The sequence below is a fragment of the Homo sapiens genome, chromosome 4 (assembly GCF_000001405.40).
Source record: "Homo sapiens chromosome 4, GRCh38.p14 Primary Assembly".
Lineage (NCBI taxonomy): Eukaryota > Metazoa > Chordata > Mammalia > Primates > Hominidae > Homo > Homo sapiens.
Window position 1 is genome coordinate 129,090,536 of NC_000004.12, and position 26,102 is coordinate 129,116,637.

Below are 26,102 nucleotides of genomic sequence, written 5' to 3' on the forward strand. Positions count from 1 at the left end.
GTTAGGCAATGATTTCTTTTATGACACCAAAAACACAATTCATAAAAGAACAAATTGATGAATTAAATTTCATCAAAATTAAAAATGTTTGGCTCCAACACTATTAAGAGAATGAAAAGAAAAAATAAGTCCATCACCACTCTGCCAGTGAGTCTCACACCCCACTAATGAATGAATTCTTAGTTCCTTAGATTGATAATGCAAGTACCTCTTTGAACAGGTTCCTAAAAACTAACTGATCTTTCCCAGACAAAGGTGGAAGAACGGTGCACAGCAAATATGCTACAAGCTTACTCTACTAGTAGCCTGGTTGAGTGTGGAGCTGCCTGTCGTTATGATATGTAAAGCTGAAATAGTAATTATCAGAGGAAATGTCATGTGGGGACATGAGAGTTGAGAAGTACCAAACATGAGTTGAGAAGTACCAAAACATGAGTTGAGAAGTACCAAAACAAATGGTCTTGACCTGGGCTCCCAAATCCAAACGGAACAAAGAGACAATCAAGATCAACAGAAATCAGTGTAGAAAAAGTCAGAGGCAGGTGGAAAGAAGGCAAGTGATCTATCTTTATCTGGGCTGGTATTTAGGTGGGTCACTTAATGGAATAACCCACCACCTTCAAATGGCATGCAAAATCCGGTTAAAGAAAAAAGGAGAGCGACACAGACACTCAACTCTCATTCTTATCTCTTCATGCAAACGCTACCATTCTATGCTCCGATTTCCTGAATAAAATCAGTTATTTTAAGCCTTTGAACCATTCCTTCTTCTGCTCCTTCTGCTTGAGATTTCCTTCTTGCACTCCACTTGTCTTCCATGGAACTATTAAATACCACTCATTTTTAAAAAAATGTTACTATGCTTCAGTTGTCTTATTTGTTTTCCCCTGGTATTTGGATCTCAGTTTTATCTAAGAATTCTGGCTGGATCATTCTTATAAAATTAATAGTTTCTGACCACCTCAAGTACTATCCTGACTCTAGCCAAACTCCTCATCAACCAATTCCTGTCCCACACTACTCTTACGGTGGCCAGTTAGCTGTTCTTATGGGGTGGGGATATTCCCACTGCAAACCTAAGAAATAATGCTAATGTTATTGTGTCATTATAGTGTCATTAATTATTTTAGATAACATATACCATGCACTTAATATGTGCCAGACACTATGCTCAATGCTTTTTCATCATCTCATTTAAGTCTCACAACTTCAAGAGGATTCTTGTGTTCTTATACTCATTATATAAATGAGAAAACTGAGGTGCAGAAAAGCTAGGAAACTTGCTCGAGGTCACAGACCTGGAAAGAGGTAGGCTGTGAGCCCAGACAGACTAAATCCAGAGGCTGACTGAGTTCTTAACCACTGGTCTATAATGCTACCAAAACGGAACTTACTACCTTTTTCCTAACTTCCCCGTTGCTCAAGCAAAAACTAAGTTGCTCTCTACCTCTTTCTCTCAAATCCCCTGATCTCCAGTCTCCCTGTGCCCAACTTAGTTTACTTCTTACCTGAATGATGACAGTAGACAACTAACTGCACTCTGCTATAATGCATATTCCCCGTAAAAATCAGACCGGGCCTTCTAAACTACAATTTGATCATGCCACTCTCAACTGAATTCCTATAACCCATGCAATGGTCCATACTCCTTAGCACAGAGAAGACAGGGCCCTTCACCATCCAGCCCCTTTCTACGCCTTCAACTGCACTTGCCATTTCCCTATATAAATATTCCAATTCAATTTACATCAATATTACACTCAAACCAGCCGTATTGCAAGTCTTTAACAAAGCATATTCCTAATCCCCTCAGTGTCACAAATATTGTTCTATTTGGGATGCCTAGAGTTTTTCATATAGTAAATTCATATTTGTACTGCACGTTTCAGCCCAATAGCACCTTCCTTGAACATATTTTAATAATAATCGTGTAATAGTTAATATTTGTTTAACACAATGTATCAGATACTATTCTAAATCCTTTACATATTTTAATATTCATTTAATCTTTCCAACAACCCTATGAGACTGTGGCAAAAGAGCCAGCAGTTGCTGTCACTTCAATATATTTTGGAATACATTTCCCTCCCCAAATTAAATTCTTGGAGGTAAAAACTGTCCTGTTTATCTTTGCAGCAGCTGTTCTTCCATAGTGTCTGGTACATAATAGAAACAGGAGTTCAATAAACATCTTTTTAATAAATGGCCAGAGAGCTGTGCCCCTAGATTTTAAATGCACACTTGGAAACTCCTGCTGGCCATTAGCCTTCTAATCTTCAGAGCACGAGAGGAGCATAACAAACATGTTTAGCGTCTAGTAGAATTCTGTGTAAGCTACAAGTACTACCACACGGTTCTGCTTAAATATACACACATCCTCACGTATAACATCAAGGTTTTTTTTTTCCTGCAACTAACTTCTTTAACTCTTTACCAATTTAAATGTACCCAACCAGCATTCAAAAAAGATTTGTCGGTCAACGACGACGATATTAAACATTGTATATGAAGTCTCAAAAAAACATGGAGCTTACTTTGCTCTCTCAGAAAGTCGATTTCTGCAGCCATTTCGATACAATTTTAGTTTAGAGCTTTCACCACCTTTACCTTCCTCTGAAAGACAGAGAGCTTGCTGTGCGGGAAAACAAAACTAAGCCAACGCTCGGTTGGTTGTCAAGCGCTCCAGCGGTGCAATCTGCATCCTACTCACGCGGCATCTACAGCCCCGCCACGCTTCTTTCCCCCGCGCCCCAGACGAGTCCCTGGCCCTGGTGAGAGACTGAAGATTGCTGGGGACTCCACGTTCAACCGAATCCCACGCTGGTGGGAAGAGGACGCGGTCGATACAGGCGTCCCGCGGGTCACTCTGGGTCTCGTCGGGCCACCTAGGAGAGTGCCGCGGGAGCTTGACGGCAGCCTGAGAGCGGCGTTCTACGCGGAGCGGCGGGGGTTGGAGAGGACAACGCCAAGACGGCTGGGAAGCCCCAGGCCAGCAGCGGAAGTCCACTCGGCCCGCCCTGCGACTTTGAAACCGGTGCCCCGGACCACTCCTTGGAGACGGTGGCGCCTCTTGCGTCATCACGCGGGCGTTGGAGCTTACGCCATCGCGCGTCCTAGAGTCCTAGCACGCTATTGGCTGGCTGTCAAGCAATGGGAGGAGTCGTGAGAACCTGGATGACAGCGGGCTGAGCCACCGGCTTGGCGCGGCGGCCAAACTGGTGGGACAGTGTCTCCAGGTAGTGAGGCCCAACCTCTTTAAAACAAACAAACAAACAAACAAAAAACCAAAATGCAAACGTGAGTAGAGAATGAAATACACAGTTTAAATGCCCTCACTATCTTTGGGTTACTAATATACTAAGCCTTTCTGGACTAAGTAAAAGATGCAGGTTCCTGCGGCTAGGGATAGAAGCCAGACTGGCGTCTTCAGAATCTCCCACCAAGGCTGTACCTCTGGAGGAGTTCTAGGTTTGGATTTGGTCATCTCAAGAAGGTAAGTACCTTCTCGGTCTTTGTGGGTCTTTAGACAAAGGAGACAACTGTTGTTTAAATATTTAACTGTGTAGTAATAAAGCGTGTAGTTAGAAGTACTCAAAAGATCTTGCAAATTCAGCAGCTACTTCTTCAAAGATAAGCTTGTTTCCTCAAATATAAGGAAAGATAAAAGGTACTTTTTTTTGCAAAAAACAAAACGGTAAAACTTACATTTGTGGATAGATTACAATTTTCATTTTTGAAAATTAATTTTGTCTGGACTTAAAACGTATTTTTTTAAAAAAAATCATTTAACATTAGAGGAAATCTCACCACTAGCAACAAAAATGTTAACTTGAAGCTAGCCACTAGTTTTGTGCTTTTAATAAATTGTATTTTTATGGACTGAAGTAAAGTTTCACTAAACAGGCATGTCATAGATGCAGCTTGATTTGGCTTTCTGTTTAACGGCTTAAGAGTTTTGTTGTCCCGTACTCATAATGTCATATAAACAAAGTAACCTTAGCGATATGTGTTAAGAAATTTTAAAAATGTATTCAAATATATGCAGTTAGGCATCTGAAGGCCTTACTCAATACTCACTGTTAATAGAATGAGATGGTCCCTTCCTCTAAAGACTAGCTGTTAAATATGGATGTGTAGCTTAATAATCATTGAAAAGGTCTAATCCAGCTTTGAGTTGGTGATAATTGAACTTGTTCTGATTTTTAGTAGCTATAACGTTTACACAAAAACTTTTTGTATAAACGTTATAGCTAAGGGAAAATTGAGTGTGCAAGGTCCAACTCGTTTTTGAAGTTCAGTATATGACTCTTTCTTCATAAACATCTCACTGACTCTCCAAGGACTTGCTTGTAACTTCTCCCACATTTGAACCTTGTATATTGTCGTATTTCTACTTGGCATCAAATAAATAATTATAGACTTAACTCTACGCTTACACCCAAACTGGATGGAAGCAAATACCTTCTGGCTATAACTGATGAGTGGTATTTACATAAAGTGAATATCTCAGGTGAAAACTTTTATGTCTGCACTCGAATTTTTTAGCTTACATGATCATAATTATGATCATGATAGTTTTTTGTTTTTGCGTTTGTGTTTGTGGTTACAAGATTTTAGTAGTTGAATTTTAATGGAGTATTTTCAACATAAGTTTCATCATTAGGAAACAAAATTGTGATGATTTCACTTATCCTTAAAGGATCCCCTCTCATGTTCCTCCTTTTCACATCTCCTGAGTTCTTTATCCACTTCTCCCAAGGTAGGTGCCACCTTAGTACTTACTTCATGCTCCTTCCTGCATTATCTGTCATGTTTTGTAGTTTGTCTCCAGGCTCCATCATAATACCTGGAACACAGAGTTGATTAAATATCTGATGGAAGGAATGAAAGAATTCAGTGGATGTTCATGAAAAGTATCTATTAGTATAAATTGAATACAAGGAATGACAAGCAGAAATGTATGTAGTTTGTGTGTAACTCTTGTCAAGCCACCATTTAATGTTTTTATATGACTTTTCTGCAATAAAGAAAACCCCTAAAGTTGTATAGATTGAAAATTAGTGACATTTCACTAACATTCATTTGGTTGATCAATTGACATTGAGCACCCAGTACTATGTGCAAAGTACCAGGAAGAATACAAAGTTAGAAGTTTAAGCAAGGATCAGAACAGATCACACAGCTGGCAAGTGCCTGAGTTGAGATTTGAACCCAGGCAGTATGGTTCTAATTTCACAATTGTTAACTGCTATGAACATGCCTCCCCAGGAATATAGTATAATATAGTTTATAGCTGGTATAATATAATTTATAGTTTTTGCTTATATGGCCAGTTAGCCTTTAGTTGTATTAAATGAAATATTTCTGTACATGTTATATTGTAATCTTAATGATTTACAGTTGATTTTCAAATTATTGCACAGTATTTATATTTCTGAATCACCCTTCCTTCTTCTAGGAAACCACTCATACTTTAGTGGAACGATTAGAAGTCTTCAGTTGTTCATGTGTGGCCCTTCAACATCTTTCTTTCCTAGAAAAATCAAGCGTCTTAGCTTCAGTGTTCTAAGCCCCTCCCCCAGAACGTGTAGGCAGCTGGGTGGAGCCTAAAGCCGAGCCCTCTCCTGTGACCTCGGCTGAAAAGAAGAAGCCAGTGTTTGAGAAAAGCTTCGTGGTCTGTGTTCTCTAGTTGTTCCCTCTTCTCTCTGACATTCCTTTCGTCGTCGCCAGGTCTTGTTTTTCGCTTGATCTCTGGAAAATACTGAAAAGTATTTTACTTTTCAGCTGTCTCCTGCTAAGTGAGCGTACTCCCCCTTTCAGGCTGACTTCCTCATTTCTCCGTTTCCCTGATAAATGGGCGGGGCCTCGGGGAGGTATGGAAACTGAAAAGAAATCATTATTGTAGAAAAACTAAAGAAATTTTTGTTGAGCAGAGGAATTTGGAAATTTTCCTTGCAGATCATTTGGTTGAGAAAACACCTTTACCATAACTTATTTCTTTTAAACTTTGCGGACATTTTTTCTTTTCCTGGGTTCTTAATGCTCCAGTGTTCGGTCTCCTTTCTCTTCCTTCGTTTCCTTTTAGAGGTCTTTCCAGGTAAAGATAAAGCAATCAGAACAATTGAAAATTTATTTTTTTAACTTGTTTTAAGAGCAATTTGAAGAATAGAGGTTAAAAGTAGAAACATACAGAGTAACAATAAATATTGTATTAAGAAAGTCTAAACAGCCAAACTTAAAATTGCATTGCAGGACAGTAATCATCTTGATAATATGCATTATGACTTTTCGGAAACGTTCAGCATATATAATATAAAGGGGAGAAGAGGCAGCCACCATACTCTTTTTAAGAGAACCGGCCTTAAATTAGACTTAAAATATATATATTTTTTTGAGACGGAGTCTTGCTCTGTTGCCAGGCTGGAGTGCAGTGGAGCGATCTCTGCTCACTGCAACCTCCGCCTCCGGGTTCAAGCGATTCTTCTGCCTCAACCTCCCGAGTAGCTGGAACTACAGGCGCGTGCCACCACGCCCAGCTAATTTTTGTATTTTTAGTAGAGACGGGGTTTCACCATGTTCGCCAGGATGGTCTCGATCTCCTGACCTTGTGATCCGCCTGCCTTGGCCTCCCAAAGTGCTGGGATTACAGGTGTGAGCCACCGCGCCCGGCCAAAAAATAATTTTAAACTGTTCAGTTACCTTAAAATAGTAATGCATGTCTGTCATAGTGTAAAATGCAGATAGGTTTTTAAAAAGTGATGAAGTTGAAAGGAAGCCTTCCTCCTTCCCATATCTGCAGGCAGATAATTCCCTTCAGGGAAGCAACCACTGTTACCACTCGTTTCTTGGATGTTTCCTGAGATAGTGTATGCCTCACAAGCATATATGCAAATAAGCTTCCTTTTTATTAAATAAATGCACCTTGCTTTTTTTCACTTCACAACATATTTTAGCATAGATGTTAATTCAGAGCTGCCTCATTCATTTTAGCAGTTATACAGTGTTTCATTGTATGGTATAGCATAATTTTTTTTACCAGTCCTCTACTGATGGGTATTTAAGTTGCTTCCAACATTTTGTTATTATGAACAATGCTACCACAAATATCCTCAACGCTTATGTCATTTTGAATATGTGCAGGTATAGTAACTCCTAGAACTAGACTTATTTTTGTCAAAGGATAGTTGCATTTTTATTTTGATAGATATTGACGTATTGCTCTTCACAGAGGCTATATCAATTATGCCTCACTAGCAATAAATGATTTTTTTCTCAATGCCTTCATTAACACAGCTTGTTGTCAGACTTTCTGATCCTTGCCAATCTAAGTGAAAAATGGTAATTTATTGTGGTTTTAGTTTGCATTTCTGTCATTATAAGTGAACATTTTGCATTTTCTCTCCGTGAACTGGCTGTTCATAATTTTTGGTCACTTTTCTGTTGGAGTGTTGGTCTTTTCCTTATTGATTTCTAGGAGCTCTTTGTGCATTAAAGAAATTAGTTATTTGTATCAAGTATGAATTGCATATACTTTTCCCCAGACTTTTGATTTTGTTAATGATAGGCTTTTGGAGTAAAGGGAACTTGGGAAGGAGGTTTTTGCTTTTTTACTATTATTTATCTATTATTAAAAAAATTCAACTTTTATTTTAGATCCAGGGTATATATGTGCGGGTTTGTCACATGGTTATATTGCATGATGCTGAGATTTGAGGTACGAATGATCCTATCACCTGGGTAGTGAGCATAGTACCCAGTAGTTAGTTTTTCAACCCTTGCCCCTTTCTTCCCTCCCCCCTCTAGTAGTCCCCAGTGTCTGTTGTTGCCATCTTTATGTCCATGAGTACCTACTGTTTAATTTCCACTTATAAGTGAAAATATGTGGTATTTGGTTTTCTGTACTTTCATGAATTTGCTTAGAATAATAGCCTCCAGCTGCATCCATGTTAGTTTTGCTATATTTATGTAGTAAAATGTTTGGGTTTTGGTTTGTATTTTAAAAGGTTTTCTCTACTAATGCAGGGAAAGCCCAGATTTGGGGCTCAGCCCAGGAGAGTTCTTGGCTTCATGCAGGAAAGGATTCACAAGCTAAAGCAAGTTTATCAGAGCAACAAACTACAGGAAAATGGCTGCTCCATAGACAGAGTAGGAGCAGCAGCTCCCATGAATTGTTGGCCAGCTGTATACATACAATTCCCTGGTTATATGCTAAATAAGGGGTGGGTTATTCATGCATTTTCCAGAAAAGTAGGAAGGGTTCCCAGAACTGAGAGTTCCTCCCTTTTTTAAACCATATAAGGTAACTTCTAGGAGTTGCCATGGCATTTGTAAACTGTCATGCCACTGTTGGGAGTTTTTTTTTGCATGCTACTGCATTATAATTAATGTATAATGAGCAGTGAGGGCAACTAGAGATCACTTTTGTTGCCATCTTGGTTTTAGCTGGTTGTGGCCAGTTTCTTTGCTGCATCTTGTTTTGATAAGATTCTGTTTCAATCAGTGGGACCTTGGTGCTCAGAAAACAAGCCCAGCTCATCTCCTACCTTACTACTATAAGATTTTATTTAACTCTCTTTTTATTTCCTGTTTTTATATGATTTTGATTTTTATGTTTAAATCTTTGATTCATCTAAAACTTACTTTGGTATAAGGATCCCACTGAATTAAATTGGACTGCAAAATGAACCAACTGATGTTGGAAACGGGTACCTCATTGATTAGTTACATGAGAACCATCCCAAACTCCTGTAGACTTATTATATATTATTTCCCCAGCACCTGGTATGGTACCTGAAATAAGATGAGTGCTTAATAAATGCTTGATAAACTAAATTGAAGGGAATTTCTGGGCTTATTATCTTTGTTATTAGCCATTGTATTGATCTGATATGTAGTGTTAAATGAGATGATGATACCACGAACACAGTAGATTTCTCCTGCACAAAATCTAGAGTGTTAGATCCAGGGACTAGAAAAATTATTCACTCAACAAATAAATAGTAACCATCACTTATAGGCATTCTAGCTGGGTTCAGGGAGTCAATAAACAAATATGTAATGCCATGTAATTGCCATGTAAGAATAGAAATAGAGCAGTGTATAGGTTAATAGAGAATGACCAGGAGGGGAGCGCTAGCCCAAGAGGTGAAGGACATTGACAATTAAGTTGTCTTTACTTAATGAACACATGTTCAAATACAAAGAAATTGAAAGGTTGTGGGGGTTAAATCTCAGAAGATTACAGAGGGAGAATCATCTGTCTCTAGTTTATGTTAGTTTTAAACTAGACTGTTAACTACTGGGCAGGACGGACTATACTTTTTAGGTTAATTTTTATAAATATTATGCATTCTTAGATTGACGTCAGTGTTCTTTAAGCGATATAAAGTTTAAAAAAAAAAACAAATTTGTCATTGCAATAAGAAACGAAAGTTGTTTATGCAATTAAAGCCAAAATTATATTCTGTCTTTGGACTGATCAGCCATGCACTATTCCCTACTTGTGGAAGTCTAGTCACTATTTTTTGCAGTAATTTTCAAATAATGCTCAAAGAAACCTTAGGGGGGAAAAGCAGAAGGAACCAGTAGAAAGGTTTGAGGTACTCACTACCTAATTCTTAACAATGGTAACTTTGCTTTTATCTTTTACTTCTTATCTTCCAGATAAAATTACATTTTGAAGTAATTTGAAACCTATGCAAGCTTGTCCAACCCAAGGCCCATGGACTACATGTGGCCCAGGACAGCTTAGAATGCAGCCCAACACAAATTCGTAAACATTATGGATTGTATTTTGATTTTTTTTTTTTTGGCTCATCAGCTATTGTTAGTGTTAGTGCATTTTATGTGTGGCCCAAGACACACATTCTTCTTCTTCCAATGTGGTCCAGGGAAGCCAAAATATTGGACACACCTGCTATAAAGTCTACCACACTCTGACCATGAGACCCACCATGTGTGCATGGAAATGATAGGCCACTTTTAGTAGCATATCACTGGATATCACTGGATATCACTGGATATGGTTTTATTCCATTTAGACATAGAATTGATTGCCTGAATGTGCTGGGAATTAAGAAGTCCCTAGTGGAAACCCACTGATTAAGATAGGGATCTCTTTAATGTATGCAGAATTTTTGTGGATTTGGTGGTTGTATGAAGAATAAGTGAATCTACCAGAACTTCCTAGTAGCTAAGGTATATATTGCCAAAATTGTCAAGAATTATCAAGCTCTAAATTAGGAGAATAGCATTTTCTCTCAGCCTATTGGTGTCAGAATCAGTCATTCAGCATTTCTAACGTCTTGATTTATTCATATTTCTTCCTATATGCTGCATGAGGATACTTATTACTACCAAAATTTAGGATAGAGGATTACACATTTTTTTTGTAGAATGTGCTTTGATGTTTCAACTAAAGAAAATAAATTTATTATTGAGGTATTTTATTCCATACAATCCACTTAAATCCGAATCAATTTATATAGTCTTATCACTCATTGAGCTTCTATCAATAATGAAGAATATGAGTTGCTGAACATTTCTTCTGAAATGCTATTAGCTTTCTACAAATGGGTTATAATACCAGAATTGTTTAATTTTAGAGATTATCTAGTAAAATTTGCGAGCATATAGTGAAAATTAGTAAAAGCTATACGTTTTAGAGAAAGGTTTTTAGAGGTCTTGGATTTCTTATGTTACACAGAGCTTGTACATTTGGATCTCCCACTGCTTAGCTCGTAGGAGGTTTTCAATACGTATTCACTGAATTAAATTTATTCCAAATTTAGTAACTTCATTAATTATAGTAAAAGACTGTAAATAACTTATGAAGCAAAGGAATACATTCAAAGATTTCAGATAAAAGAAGTTACAGTTTGGAAAGGTTATCAGGTACTAAGTGAGATTATCTTTTGGATAAAACATAGGATCTAGTATAATTTGGGGGGTCCACCACTCCTAAAATAAAATTTTCACCTCTTTGCAGATTCCTGAAATGTCTTCATCTGGGAAAACATTGTTGACATTGGTTTAATTTCTAGATATGCTAGTCACGTGACCTTGGACAAATCTGTTCCATTTGTAATGAGGACAGTAATAGTTTCTCTGCAAGTTTGTACTGCAATTAAATGAGACAATGTTTAGAAAATGCCCAATCCATAGTATTCAAAAATGTGATTTTATCAATGCATTACAAGACTGTGTCCTTCTATTGAATACTTAGAATACTAATTTAAAATGCAAAAACTGCTTTTTTGTAGGTACTCAGTCTATTTCAAAGTTTAAATGATTGCAGATTCTGTTCCCATTTTTCAGTTGGAGAGAGGTAATTAACCAAGCAAGCAGTCATTTAACAGTTAAAATATTAAAACTGAAAGTGTATATGCTGGGACAAAGGAAGGCAAAATTCAACTCTACTAACTTTTAAATGATTGGAACTCCCCATCCCCAACCCCCATGAAGAAAAGGATTTTGGCCAAAAGAACAGGTGTTAACAGCACTTCTTCTACTGATTTATGGAGTTTTTTTTTAACTAAGTTGAATTTTATTATAAAGATCTTGATTCCCAGAGGATCCAGTAACTGAGACACCTGCACACTTTACAATAAATAAAAGACAAAGGATGACATAAGAACCCATGGTGCTTATAGTTACAGTTAAGTATATTAACAATTTTTGCAGTAGACTTAATTACAATTAAAAAAATGATTTTGATGCACTGTTTACAACAGCACTAGAGCCAAATCTAGACTTTTAACACTTTTATCACTTTTCATGTTGAGGTCGATAGTGTTTCTATGGCAGCAATTAAAAACAAAGTTAAATAAAAAAGTGTTAAATCTAGAAGTTTTAAAACCTCTAGGAACTAGTTACCTATTTTAGACTAGAACTCAGAGTCTGTGCTTTGGCACAACACAAGATAGCCTTTTGACTCCCAGGACTGTGCTCTTGCCACTCTGCTGCCTTTCCCGTCTGCTGTTTGGCATTGAAATTTTCATTTCATTTCCAACTAAAGAAAACATTTGTATATTGTTAAAGAGTTTGTTTTAACATATTTTCTTTTAGAGACTTCAGATGGATTTTAAAATTGAACACACTTGGGATGGTTTTCCAGTGAAGCATGAGCCCGTATTTATCAGGCTGAATCCAGGTGACAGAGGAGTGATGATGGACATTAGTGCTCCATTTTTCAGGGATCCTCCAGCCCCACTTGGAGAACCAGGAAAACCTTTCAATGAACTGTGGGATTATGAAGGTAAGTGGAAGTACTGTATTTTATTGCAAACATAAATCTTCTTATAATAACCTCTCACAGAACTATTATTTTATCTTGCTGTTGGGAAGTAAGTGCTTCTGAGCAATTGACATGTACAGTTTCTGATATTTCCTACCAATCTCTCATTCTGACTTTTTCTCCATTACCTGTGTGACTTTAACTATATAACAAAAACAGTTAAAAAATGGCAATTACAAATCCAGATTTTTTTTTTTTTTTTTTTTTGAGACAGAGCTTCACTCTGTTGCCCAGGTTGGAGTGCAGTGGTGCAATCTCGGCTCACTGCAAGGTCCACGTCCTGGGTTCATGCCATTATCCTGCCTCAGCCTCCCTAGTAGCTGGGACTACAGGCGCCTGCCACCACGCCTGGCTAATTTTTTATATTTTTAGTAGAGACAGGGTTTCACTGTGTTAGCCAGGATGGTCTCGATCTCCTGACCACGTGATCTGCCCACCTCAGCCTCCCAAAGTGCTGGGATTACAGGCGTGAGCCACCTTGCCTGGCCACAAATCCAGATTTTTTTATTGCTGCCTTATTTTCTTCCTTTATTTCTGTTACCTATGCTGAGAAGAGTTCAGGATTCCTGTTTTGTATTTAAGTATCTTTAAATTACCACTCTAACATTACAAATCTTCTTTATGGAAGATTTGGAGTGTTTTACTTATTGTAGAAACACTATCAACCTCAATACGAAATGTAGTTTTTACTTTATCCTGGCAACTCGTCTCACATATCAAATTAAGACATGACATAAAATTAGTTTCAGGTTTGCTCTATGATCTCCTTCTACTGTATCCTAATTAAGCTATCAGATTCATCTTTCTGAAATACTCTTCATGATGCCATTTCCCAGATGATAAATCATTACTATCCCTAGGATAAAGTTCAAACCCTTCCTTTAAGCTTTCAGCACACTTATGAATTGGGCCACCATATTCAACCAAAAGCTCTTAACCTATGTACCTTCTCATTCTATTCCCCCTGCCTCTAATGCATAGTTCAAGATCTAATTCATGTCCCATTTCTTCAAAGAAGATTTTGATGAATCTTCTAGTCAATATGTCTAGTTTATGCCATTTGTAAGCACACATTTTGTCAGTGTTAATTTGTCATATGTTAAATATATATTGTCTTTTATTGATACAAAACGGGTATATAGCATCTTCCTAATGGAATACACACTAATGTGACTTACCTTCTAGAGGCACTACAGACATGAAACTCAACAAATTCTAATCTCAACTCACCTACTTCTTTCATAAACCAGTTCTTTACCTAATTGTCCAATATCAATAAATGGTACTAACAATACATTAAATCACCAAATCTAAAAAATTGTGAGATCTTTCTAAGATATCCTTCTTTGACACTCTCCCTTATTTGGATTTATTTACTAAGTCCCATCAGTTTTGCTTCCTAAATATTCCTCTAACTCAGTATCTCCTCTTTTATCCCCACTATCCTTGCCAAAAGTTAGGCTTTCATCATCTTTTACCTTGGTTAGGGCAGAGCCTTCTAAATAGTCTTTTAGCCCTTAAGCCCATTCTTCATTTAGAAGCTGGACTGCTATATCTAAAATGAAAATTTAAACTCATCCTTCAGCTACCTAAAAACCTTCTCAGGATCCTTTTCCTCTCAAGGTAAGTTTTGTCCTTCTTAATATGATCTCTGTATAAGACTTTCCATGACCTGGCCCCTTATTCTCTGTAGCACCACCAGCTTCTCCTACATTGAAAGGTTTGCCTGGTAAGACTGAACTGTTCATAGTTCTTTAAATAAGCTACAATATTTCCTAATTGTGTACCCTTGATTTTACTGTTTTCTTGCCCTAGAATGCTGTTTCTATCATTCTTCACCTAGTTCCAAATCATCTTTCAAGACAGAGCTTAAATAGCAACTTCTCCTGGAATCCTTCACTAAACCACTTTTTTGAGCTAAACATCTGTTTCTATTTTTTCCTGTAGCAATGCATGCATCCTCCATTTTGGAACTTTTATTAAAATTTTCCACTTTAGTATCTGATTAGATTGTAAGCCAATAAAGGTATTTCCAGAATCTGATATAGTGTTTAATACAGAGAAGCTGCAAAAGTATTTGTAAGGTGATGATGGAAAGTAGAAAGCAGAAGATATATATGTGCATCTGAGTGTGTGTGTGTGTGTGTGTGTGTGATATATATACACACATGTATGTATAGTGAGAGAGAGAGTATGTGTGCTTATGTATGTATGTATGTACCTATCTATTTTATATATATGGAGAGAAAGAGAGAGATCTATTTTAAGAAATTAGTTCACACAATTGTGGCAGCTAGCAAGTCCACTCTTCCCTGGGTCTTCAGTCAACTGGCTGGAAAACCCACTCTTCCCTGGGTCTTCAGTCAGCCAGCTGGAGAGTCTATGTTGCAGTTCAAATCTGAAGGCTGTCTGCTGGTAGAATTCCTCTCTTGAGGGAGGTCAGTCTTTTTTTCTATGAAGACCTTAAACTGATTGGATAAGCCCCAGCCACATTATAGAGGGAAACCTGCTCTACTAAAAGTCTACTGATTTTAATGTTAATCTCATCTTTAAAAAATGGCTTCACAGAAACAACTAGAATAATATGTTACAAAATATCTGGATACCATGGCCTAGTTAAGTTGACAGATACAATTAACTATCACAGTAGACATTCTAATTTGTCTATATAAAAGATTTAAAAAGGGACAATAAGATTCTCTGAATTGCTGGCAGAATTATGTCTATATTTTAGCTATTTTATTATAAAAATAACACATGGAAAATTGGAAACAACCTAAATGTCTATCCATAAAGGATTAAGTGAGTAAGTTATAATATTCTATAAAATACTACTATTCAGTCATTAAAATAGTATGTAGAAGCATAGAAAAGGTCTGGCAGGTTTTAGACCAAAGGGGAAGAAAAGGACTTTGACTTTTTACTTCATATATATTGTTTTAATTATTTACAAGAAAGATGTATATGTTCAAAATTAAACAATTTTAAAAATAGCAATATTCAGAAATTTCCAGAAAATTATAAAAAAGAAAAGAAAGATCACCTACCTAAATTCCTGCAATCACAGATATGCAGTCATTAACATTTTTGTGCACATTTTGCAGACATCTAGACATAGACACACATGCAATTTTAATGTCATGCACATTTTGGTTGCTGTTCTGCAGCTGACTTATCGAATATCATGGATATCTTCCTATATCAACAAATATTTAATGGTATCTTTGATTTTAATAGCTGCATTGTATTCCATTGTTTATGGAATATATGAATTCCATAATTTACTTAACAGTTCTCCTGTATAATAGGAGATGTATTTAGAGAATAAGAGATAATCTTATGTAATAGGAGATAATCATTTAGATCATTTCTAATTTTTGAACAGTACTCTAATGAATGGCATTATACTTAATTCTTTTCCCAGTTGTCAGATTATTTTCTTAAGATAAATTCCTAGAAGAAGATAACTGGCTCAAAGTTTATGTGATAATGTTAATTTCTTTACAACCTGACCAGCACTAGTTTTAATTAATCTTTTCAATATGTGGCAATCTGATATGTGAGAAAATTGTTGATGATTTATTTCCTATATATTTCTTCTTCCAGGCAATGTCTATTTTCTTTGCTCTTTTTCCTATTGGGGATAGTATTATAATTAAGAATAGTTAATTCATTTTATATTCTAAAGGAATAAATTATTTATTGTTGGAAAGCAATATTAAATATCTCAATATGTTATATCTCTGTTTTCAAAAGTTGTGGAAGCATTTTTCTTGAATGATATAACTGAGCAATATTTAGAAGTTGAACTTTGTCCGTAAGTATAAAATGTTTTTTCTTACTTATTACTACATAATTTGAACGTGTTATTTTCTAGTTATAAATGATATAGTAAAAGCTCATTAATTCCAGAGTAAGAATGGTACTCTGAATTTGCTTGAATGATATGCTTTTATATATTTCTTAGTTTCAAGTACAGAGCACATATTTAGAATGTATGTTTAGAATATACTCATATTCTAAATGTTTGAAAATCCTATGTCAATATTTTCAGTTCATTAATGTAGATTTTTGTAATAAATTTCAAGATAATTTTTTTCAAAACGAAAAGTCATTATAAAACAAAAACTCTCATTATTTACGCAATAAATTTGCATTATTATAATATAGCTGTTCGGAAATAAAAGGAGAGATATGGGTATAATTAATTGAGCTAGCTTATAAAAATGTTTCTTTTAGGGGATTTTTAAATGACTAGATGAAACTTTAATTTTATGTATTACATAATTATGCATTCATGTATTCATTCTTTATTCATCATGCATTTATTAAGTATATGCTGTGTCACTTTTGCATTCAGTGCCAGGGTTTAAAAACTAAACCACATATAGATTTTCTTAGACTCATTACAAATATTAACCTTGGACTCTCTTTGTTCAGGTTTAACTGTCTCTTGGGAATCCTGTTTACCTGGTTGGCAAACTATTTCTTTTTTCCTGTAGATGTACACCTATTATCTAAATTATAGCACATTTAAAATTAATAAAGTATTTAATAATGAAATATTTCTTTATATTGCAGTTATTCATTTGAAATGCCATTTAAATGCCTCTCAGTGTCTAACATTCAGAAGCCATTGCTCCTTTTGTAGGCTGGACAGAGAGCTCCAAACAATTGATTTAAATGAGATTTGTAGATATTCTTTTATTTTCTTTTATTTTGATATTCAGCTAAATCTAATGTAGAAAAGTCTAGCTGTTTGCGTTCTGTTTTTTAAGAAGAGTAATCATATACCTTTGTGTGTTACATTTCAACTAACATGCCAAAATTTGTTATTGAAAAATATGATTAATTCTCATAAACTGCCATGAGAAGTAAGAAAATTTCAACTATTGTGTGCTTATTTTTACCCTACAGGTGAGAAAACTAAGGCAAACATTCATAATTTGTCTAGAGAACAGTAAAGAACTTGGATATCCTAAAATTTTGCCCTTAGTTTTAATTTTATTAGATGATAATATTGGTTCATTTTCATAAAGTGATGTCAACACTAGATGAATAGAATAATTAGATTCTCTCTTGTTAAGAAATTACACAGTAATCATTGTGTATAAAATTAATAGATTTTAAAGGTTAAAAAAATTCACAGAGTAGTTTGGTTTCTTATGTATCAGGATAGTTAATAATCAAGAATCATAGTTTTGCTTCAAGCAGTCATTTCCTGTAACAGTTTATTAACCTCTAGGAAAGCAACAGGAAGAATTTTTTTTATTTGCAAGAATTTTTACTCCTAGGATGTACTCCTAAGGCTGCATAATAACAATAAAAATAATCAGAAGACTTTCAAATGGAAAAGAATACTTGGCTTCTGTTAGAATAGTTTACTGAAGGAAATCCTCCCTGAAAAGCTCTCAAAAGAGTACCTGTATAGAAATGTTTTAATATATAGGTTTTTCTAGAGTTAGTGAATTTGCTTCATGTAAATACATGAAATCCTTTGGTTCTTAATGACCTGGCTAGTCCCAATTGTACACTGTTATTAGAATTTCCCTTGGAAAATATACTGTGTTCCTTTTTGAAAACATGATGCTGAATGAATGGTAGAAAGCAGGAAAACACAAGAGGCAGACATGTTGAGGACCGTGTGTGAAAAAAATAGACAAAGATTAAAATCTTTAGCCTGTTGACTAGTTGTAGACTGTCTATGTTTTGCATTTTTTATTTTCCTAATGAGCTACCAGATAGTTTTCTTACAGAAATAACCTTTATTAAAGTGGTTGAATTCAGACTTGGAAATTGTTGCTTGCTTTAGTTTTTGAAACTCGTTTTATAAAAAACTCCAAATAACATGGTATCTCTCTGACCTTTTTTCATACTTTGTATCATCTAACCAAATGAAGTATTTTATATAATTGTTTCTTTAAAGAATATAAAAAGCAATCTAAACATGAAACTTTATGCATTTGGTGGCAGTTGTCTGGAGAGTGGTAAACCCAAAGATGTCATTTCTAAGCAACTGAACACACTGGCTCTCCCTATAATTATCCAATATTAATATTGCATCTTTTTTTTTTTGAGACAGAGTCTCGCTTTGTTGCCACGCTGGAGTACAGTGGCGCTATCTTGGCTCACTGCAACCTCCACCTCCCGGGTTCAAGCGATTCCCCTGCCTCAGCCTCCCAAGTTGCTGGGACTACAGGCACACGCCACCATGCCTGGCTAATTTTTTCTTTGTATTTTAGTAGAGACGGAGTTTCACCATGTTGGCCAGGATGGTCTTGATCTCCTGACCTCGTGATCCACCCGCCTTGGCCTCCCAAAGTGCTGGGTTACAGGCGTAAGCCACCATGCTCAGCCTGCATCTTTTAATTATTTGGAAAATTAGTTGCAAGCACACACATTCCATGTATAAAGGATAGTGAAGAAAATAACATTCATGTTTTTCAAACACTCATGAGGAATCTTAATTTTGACAGCCACGGACAGCATTTAGTGCTTTTACTTTCTGGAAGAAGAAATGTGTGGAAAGTAAGTAAATAAAAATAGGAGGCAAAATCATTACGTACACAGTAATACACATATTTCTATGTTTAAAGTGTAAGCCCAATTTTATCTTTTGTGTTTCACATGTTGTTTCTGTAGCAAGAACTTCCTTTATCGTTCAGAATGTCCAGAGGAGAGACAAAATGGGAAGGCAAAGCTTATCTCCCTTGGAGTTATTTTCCACCAAATGTGACAAAATTCAATTCATTTGCAATTCATGGATCAAAAGATAAACGAAGTTATGAAGCTCTTTACCCTGTACCTCAGCATGAACTGCAGCAAGGACAAAAACCTGATTTGTAAGTAGAAAATAAATGAAGATATGTTCCAAATACACGAGTTTTTTCGAAATTAATTCTTAGTGGAGCAGAAGTAACACTTTTGATCAAAGAAGACGACATATGTGCACAAGTATCTAGTAGAGTCCAATGTTCACTGATGGTCCTCAGAAAATACTTGGAAAACTTTGGACTGTCATAATCTCTCTCACTACTGTCAGTAGAGCACTTATTTTTCCATAGTGGTATGAGAAAAGTGTTGTTTGCATGTGAGAAAAGTAAATGTTGTAATAGCTGATATAGAAGTATGGTCACAAATTCATTTAAAATTTCTTTCAGAGCTAAAGGGCCAGAGGCATCAGTGTTTCCTGGTGTGAACAAACAGTCCCCTGTTACAAGGAAATCTAATCTTCAGTTATCTCTCTAGTTCTCCTCTTCTGGTAACCTCATAAGGATAAAAATATCAACTATGTTTCTAGGCAACACTGCTTACGATAAAAATGACCCTTAAGTGGCAAATTACATCTGGACTGAGAATAATTTTGGATGAACTATAAATATATGATGGAGACAGCATGGCTTTGGGATTCCCCTGTAACAGTCATGTTCCCTGTGGGAACCCTGGAAGCTATGGCTATGGAGTTATTCCAAGAGATATTGCTCTCATGGGGCAGCAGGCATTTGAGCCAAGTTATCTGCTATGCTTTCTCAATTTGAGTCTTGTTTCCTTGCACCTGTAGCTCTCACATAGGCAGACTAGAGCTCCTGGCCAGCCTTATGAATGCTTCATGGACTTCTGCAAGGACTACTCCTTTAGGGAGGAAAGCCAGATGCTGTCCTGGGGCAAGCTGTGATTGCTGCTCTATATCTCTCTAGGTATACTCACTATGGCCAAGGTAGTCTCGTGAGTCTGGGCATTTGGAAGAACCTAACAGAAACATCCTAGTGAGCATTGCACTATGGTAGATGGACATTCCTGCCTTTTAACCTGTGGAATGTGCTGCATCGTCCTTCCTCTCCCTGTTTGCCTTCTCCTTCCTGCCATGCTCTTACTTTATGCTTCTTTGTCTTTATCACTTCTAGCATATTTCTTTATTTTGCTTGATATTTTTTCCCCTTTTCCCTTTGCCTTTCTCCCCAATCCTGACATAGCTTTTACCTAGTCTTTTTTCCCCTTCCTTTTTCTTATCCTTCACTGTTTTTTCCTTAATCTCTTACTCTGGGATTGACAATTGTGATTCAAAAACTGACTTATCCTGGCCAGGTGGGCAGAATGAGACAAACATGTAGTTGCAACTGACTCAAGGTCCTCATATCAAGACGTCATGTCTCTCTGGCTCTTCATCAGCTAATACCTTCCTATATTCAGGCTCTTCATTCATACATTATTTGGAAGCTTATCTTAGGTGGAAGTACGATTATACATTGGCCAGGACAGAGCCAAGGCAGAGTGACTTCCTACAGAGTGGGGCTCCACTGCAGCATGTTAGCTAAGCCTTTCTCTCCTCATTAAGCCACAAGAGAAAGCTTCTTAATGTAGTTAAGTGGTTTTCCTCGAAAGAAAAGAACTGGGATTAATACTCTTTTACATTAACCTCTCTTGCTTCAGCAGAGAAGGGAATTAAGAAGTCTATCTTATCAATGGAACTGAAACTTTTCAAAACAATTGCTTATATGACTGATATAAATTATATCAAAGTTTGAATATAAAAACATATGCAAGAGCATAATATGATTTGTTTAAAGCTGGATGGAATGAGTTATGTTTTGAGAACTGATTTCTCCCTTCAGCTGTGAGGGAGTTATTTGCAGAATTGAAAGAAGAGTGCTTTGAGATGCAGGTGAATGTTTTCAGAGCTGAGTGTTTGACAGCTAGAGTGAGAAAACTGTACATATAAAATATATCTTACCTTTAGTATTGCTTAAAATAGAATGTTGTATTACAGTTGTGACAAAATAAATAGCCCTTCAGGACAACTATTTCACAAATGCATAATTCATTTCAATTCCCACCTTCTTTTTCTTTGCTTTTAGCCATTGCCTAGAATACTTCAAGTCTTTCAATTTTAACACACTGCTTGGAGAAGAGTGGAAACAACCGGAATCAGACCTGTGGCTAATAGAGAAATGTGATATATAGGAGTAATAGATAACCATACCGATCATTTTTTCCTCTATACCTTTTAAGATAAACAAAAAATAAATATCAATTTTTTAAGATGTCATGCATACATTTCAACAACAAATATCTTCATAGAAGTCACTGAAAATATAGTATCTGTGGCAAATTGTATATGATTAACAAGAAAATATATGATTCTTTGTAGATGATTTCATCTGTAAAGTCACAATGTTTCTCAGAGTCACTTAGTCCAGGATGTTGCATTCCCAGCACACAGTACAGTTATTCTTGAAAACTACAAGTGAAAAAGGGGGAACAATTGAGGTTGTCCAAGGCCACCTAGAGGACTGTCTTGCACTACCTTGTGATTCAACCATTTCATTCCTAGATATATACCCCAGAAAAATGACTGCTCATAGCAGCTTTATTCATAATAGCACAAAATTGTAAACAGTGAAATTTCCATCCATAGGAAAATGGATAGACAAACTACAATATAGTCAGTGGAATACTGTTCATTTAAAAAAGGACTGCTGATACATGCAACAACCTGTATGAATCTCAAAAACATTAAGTTGAGCAAAACAAACCAAACATAACATACTATCTAATTACTTTTATATTAAAGCCACTTCCAGGCAAAACTAATATTTGATGATAGATACCAGAACAGTGGCTGCTTAGAGTGAGGGCAGGGAATTCAAATTGAATGGAAAAGGGGCCTGAGGAAATTTTCCGGGGTGATTGAAATGTTTTGTATTTTGATCTGGATGATGGTTATGTAGCTGCATATATTTGTCAACATTCCTCATGCTGTATGTTTAGATTTGTGATTTTACTATATGTAAATTAATTCCTTAATAAAATACTATTATAAAATAAGCTGTAAATTAAATGGAATTAACTTCAAGTTTACATTGAGTTTATATGTTTCCATTGAACAATCACTAGTGATGGTTAAATGTGGCTTATCGACTTACTCATTTCTTATATATGTTCTCTATCTAAAAAGAGAGCTGGTGTAAGATAAATGCTAACTTTTACAAAAGGTATTATTAAGTATCCTGACTACACATCATGGTGGCAGTGTTAGGCATCTTAGATAAATTGAGAAATTATTCTTAAAACTGACAATAGCAACTAATTAATTTGATATAGAAACGATCTGCCTGTTTTAGATACGAATGGCATATTTTAAATAACCTAGGACGATTTATTTATAAATTACCTGAATAATTTTATAAATGCATATAAAACTATCAAAATAAAAACAAGATATATTTTAGAGCATCTTGATTTTAGAAGCGAATCGAACACTGTGAATCACAGTTTCAGATATAAATCATAACTATTTATAATATGGATAAAAATGAAGCACAAATATGATAGATACAATCACAACAATATAAAATACTGAATTTGAATGTTGTAGCTTGTGAGCTTTCTCAAATCTAATGTGTATCTTTTTAAAATTTGTTTAGATGTTTTTTAAACATCTCTTAACTTTCTTTCATCTAGATAAGGCATTTCCTTTTCTTCCAATACCAAGCAAGCAAAAATACATTATATAAACATTTTCTTTTGAAAGGAACATGCATATCAACTACAGAATTTCGGAAAGCTTGTCCATTAGTCAGGTACAAATGATATATTCTAGAAACTTGTATCCAAGAAACTTTTATTTGAGAGTGGGTGTTTGTAATAGCCATTTCAAATTTGTTTTTCAACTTCAGGACCATGAAAGAATAATCATCCTTTTGTTTAAAATATGCATAAATGCATTTCTTTGCTGTGATTTGAATTGTTCACTGCAGTGTCAAGCAGATTCTCTCTTCTCACCACCTAAATAGATTACACAATGTGCATATTTATTCAGGTGCATTCTCATGCTTTTTCCCAGCTCCAGGAAAGTGTAAGTCACAGTCTGAAGGGAAATGTGCTTTTTATTTTTGGCTCCAAACTACTTTTTTTAAACGTTAAAAAGGTTTTTTGCCACAGGAAAAAAAACATTTAATTTCCCCTCCTTCTCCTCCTTTTGCTCCTTTTTTAAATGTTAGGCTTTTGGAGGACAGAAGATAATGAGCATAATTAATCTGATATTGAAAAAGAAAGGGTAGCAAGTGGATAAAGCAATTACAGTAAGCCCTCAGCCCTTTTCTCATGCCTCAAAGCTTAAGGATTGTCTCTTCTTTTCCATGTAAATTTCCATAATATTTTACACATTGCTTTATTACAGCATTTATTTCACTGGTCCTAGATAGCTCTTCTGACCCACCTCCTATCCTCTCAGCCTAACTTTTTACTCCAGCCATCAGTTGCATACAGTGAACTGACTGGCCAGTTGCCTCAGCTGTACTGTGTATGTCTTACTTCCTGCCCCTAGGGCTTCTCTGCTTCCTCTGCTGTGTGGAACACTTGCAGGAACCCATTTAGCCATTCTCTCACATGAACTACCCGGGATGTGTGAAGGGACTAAAACACCCCATGGGGCACCTCTTGACCAAAGAGGGTGGGAGTTGATGGATAACTACTTCTCTGTTACATCCCTCAGTTTAACAATTTATGGTCCCTTCCACACAGCTCCTCAGAAGTTCTCTTAAAAGGATTCCACCCTGATTACCCACAGCAGTGGCCAACTAGTAACACATTTTTGCATTATCTTTCCTTCATTTCCATCATTTTCTGTTTTGCTCTTCCTGGTACCTCTCTCCTCTCTGGAATTGCTTAACTACAGTCAACCTCTTTGGAAGTTATTGTCCTATGTTTGCTTCATGGGGAACCCAGGCTAAGTCAGTGATTACCTAAAGCAGCCCTAGAAAGCCGTTCGTCAGGATGAGAATCTAGAATTGTATCACAGGGCATTTGGTGACAAGGACCCCATTGTTGGTGGTAATGGCTCTGCTATAAGTAACTTCACAGTTATTAAAACAGTGGTAGACTGGCTTGAGGTGCAGCTGAGGCACCTGAAGCTATGAAAGCCATCTAGTCATAATGACTCTTCGTGTCAACTGTTCAGCAGGCAAATAGAAGCGGGCTACCATGCAGAGCTAGAGTTATAACTATTAATGGAAGCAGTATAGAGTATGTCCTTCCTAGGGGATTCATTGAGTCATCCTTTGGTGTTTCAATGTCAAGTGGTAATCTTAAATGGGCAACTGTAGCAACCACAGCCTGACAAGGTAAAGCAACTAAGGACTCTGACCCTTTGAGGATAAAGGTCTAGGTCACCTCACCATTCAAACCACTTGAAACTACTGAAGAGTTTGGCCAAATGTGAGAGAAATACAGAATTTGTGATGGAAGAGAGAGATGATAACTATCAATTATAGACTTGAAATCAGTTACAGGAGCCACATAACTTGTTCCACTAAATCTTTTGCATTTAGTATTTGTATAATGGCTGCCCACTTCCTTGAAGACTCTGTGACAGATTGGACTCAATGTGGAATGTGTGTGGCTCTGAGTGCTGCAAGGAGTGGACTGTATTTAATATCTCTTGTGTCCTACCTCACATCCTCTTAGGCCATTTTTCAATTCACCCATTTTACTCTTTGATAGCACTTTACCTCTTTTGTCCCATGTATCTCTAGATTTCTGTATTAGTGCTTTTCTGACACCTCAGTTATGTGGAACACCTGTGGGAATCTGCTAATCTACTCTGACGTATATGCAAACCTGGAAGTTTGAGGGAATTGACAATAGGGACAGGATTCAGTGGATAAATACTCCCCTTTTCCGTCCCTTGGGCAGACAATTCTGAAGTGCATTCTGTATAGTTCCTTAGTGGTCTCCAGTAGGACTCCACTAGGGTCTTCAGTTACCTACAGTACTGATCAGCTTAAAAATGCAATCTTAGATTGGCTTGCTTTATTTAATTTTTCCAAAGTTCCCAATCCCATTCCTTAGAATCACATTCCAAAATTAATGCACTGCACACAACCCTCTGCTTTTGTCAGGGGTAGAAGGGGTATCCAGCCTAAGGCACCTAAGTCCAAGAGGAATATGTGCCTAACAAATCTTCTAACTAAATATATATATATATATATATATATATATAAAATATATATGTTTATATATAACATATATATATAGAGAGAGAGCATAAAATGTGCTGTGTATGTGTGTAGCATATTTTTTGTTAAATCACCATTCCTGGGCCCTACTCATTTTCTGATAATTTCTTATCTTAATTTGCTCTGAAAGAGCAAAACTTATAAAATTGACTATTGTAACTCTATTTTTTACCAACTATCATTTTTCATGGAAGGAATAGTAAAAAGAGTTACCTCTGAAGCTAAGATGACACATGTATGAGGAATATAGGAAGCCAGAAATCATGAATCTATGAAAAGTGAGGGGTGTCTGTGCATATTTTATTTTATTTCATAATAAATAACCAGTAATTAAAATATTCTTTTCCATGTAATGGGATCTACGAGTAAATTTTTGTCTGATATTTATAAATCTAATATGTAATATAAAGGAGAAATAGGAAATGCTGTCAAATGACATTTCACTTTACTACTTATTTGAATTACAATGAAATAATATATAGCTACATCACTGGCTCCTGAGAGAGCTTTGGGTGTTCTGTAAATTTTTTACTTTGCACTCTTGAAAAATTCGCAGAGAATGCAAGGTTTAGTAAAAATTTATTTTCTTTTGGCAGCCTATCACCTGTAATTTCCGTTAAACAGCATTTCTGACTCAATAGTACACTGAAAGCCCATGTTTGTAATAATGCCCTAAAGCACTGCAGTACCTAGAGTATATATTTTGAAGAGATAGCTTTGCTGAAATAGAAAACCAAACTGTAAATTGAAGTCTGAGCATTCAGAGAAATAAAAATTATGCTAAAAACAAA

General features: G+C 36.0%; 2 protein-coding genes across 18 annotated transcripts in view, besides 1 other annotated feature; one reads left to right on the forward strand and one right to left on the reverse strand.

Annotated features, from left to right (window-relative positions):
* SCLT1 (sodium channel and clathrin linker 1) overlaps window positions 1-3,004 on the reverse strand; it is a 220,299-nt gene extending 217,295 nt beyond the window's left edge. For all 13 annotated transcript variants that reach the window (XM_047449590.1, XM_017007717.3, NM_144643.4 and 10 more), the window contains exon 1: window positions 2,535-3,004. In XM_047449590.1, coding sequence (XP_047305546.1) covers window positions 2,535-2,568 — 34 coding nt within the window. In that variant the 5' untranslated portion in view covers window positions 2,569-3,004. The remainder of the gene's footprint in view (window positions 1-2,534) is intronic.
* Window positions 2,699-3,268: an enhancer, noted in NCBI's record as "active region_21902". NCBI's record gives its function as "activates an Ori minimal core promoter by ATAC-STARR-seq in GM12878 lymphoblastoid cells {active_cell/tissue: GM12878}" and the evidence as "EXISTENCE:reporter gene assay evidence [ECO:0000049][PMID:35858748]".
* C4orf33 (chromosome 4 open reading frame 33) lies at window positions 3,177-26,102 on the forward strand. 5 transcript variants are annotated; one of them, NM_173487.3, is made up of 6 exons: window positions 3,177-3,493; window positions 12,067-12,256; window positions 16,052-16,112; window positions 18,772-18,823; window positions 18,938-19,137; window positions 21,151-26,102. In NM_173487.3, exons 2-6 carry the CDS (start codon window positions 12,076-12,078, stop codon window positions 21,254-21,256), a joined length of 600 nt encoding a protein of 199 aa, NP_775758.2. In that variant the 5' UTR covers window positions 3,177-3,493; window positions 12,067-12,075; the 3' UTR covers window positions 21,257-26,102. The 5 variants fall into 5 exon arrangements, with proteins under 5 accessions (NP_775758.2, XP_016863213.1, NP_001093253.1 ...); XM_017007724.2 differs by lacking the exon at window positions 21,151-26,102 and adding an exon at window positions 19,456-19,807; NM_001099783.2 differs by lacking the exon at window positions 3,177-3,493 and adding an exon at window positions 5,617-5,674.

Coding starts and splice junctions, on each gene's coding strand:
- C4orf33 (NM_173487.3), top strand. CDS start 12,076: ATGGATTTTAAAATTGAACACACTTGGGATGGTTTTCCAGTGAAGCAT. Junction 12,257..16,051: donor TGAACTGTGGGATTATGAAG/GTAAGTGGAAGT, acceptor TGTTTTCAAAAG/TTGTGGAAGCATTTTTCTTG. Junction 18,824..18,937: donor GAAGAAGAAATGTGTGGAAA/GTAAGTAAATAA, acceptor TTGTTTCTGTAG/CAAGAACTTCCTTTATCGTT.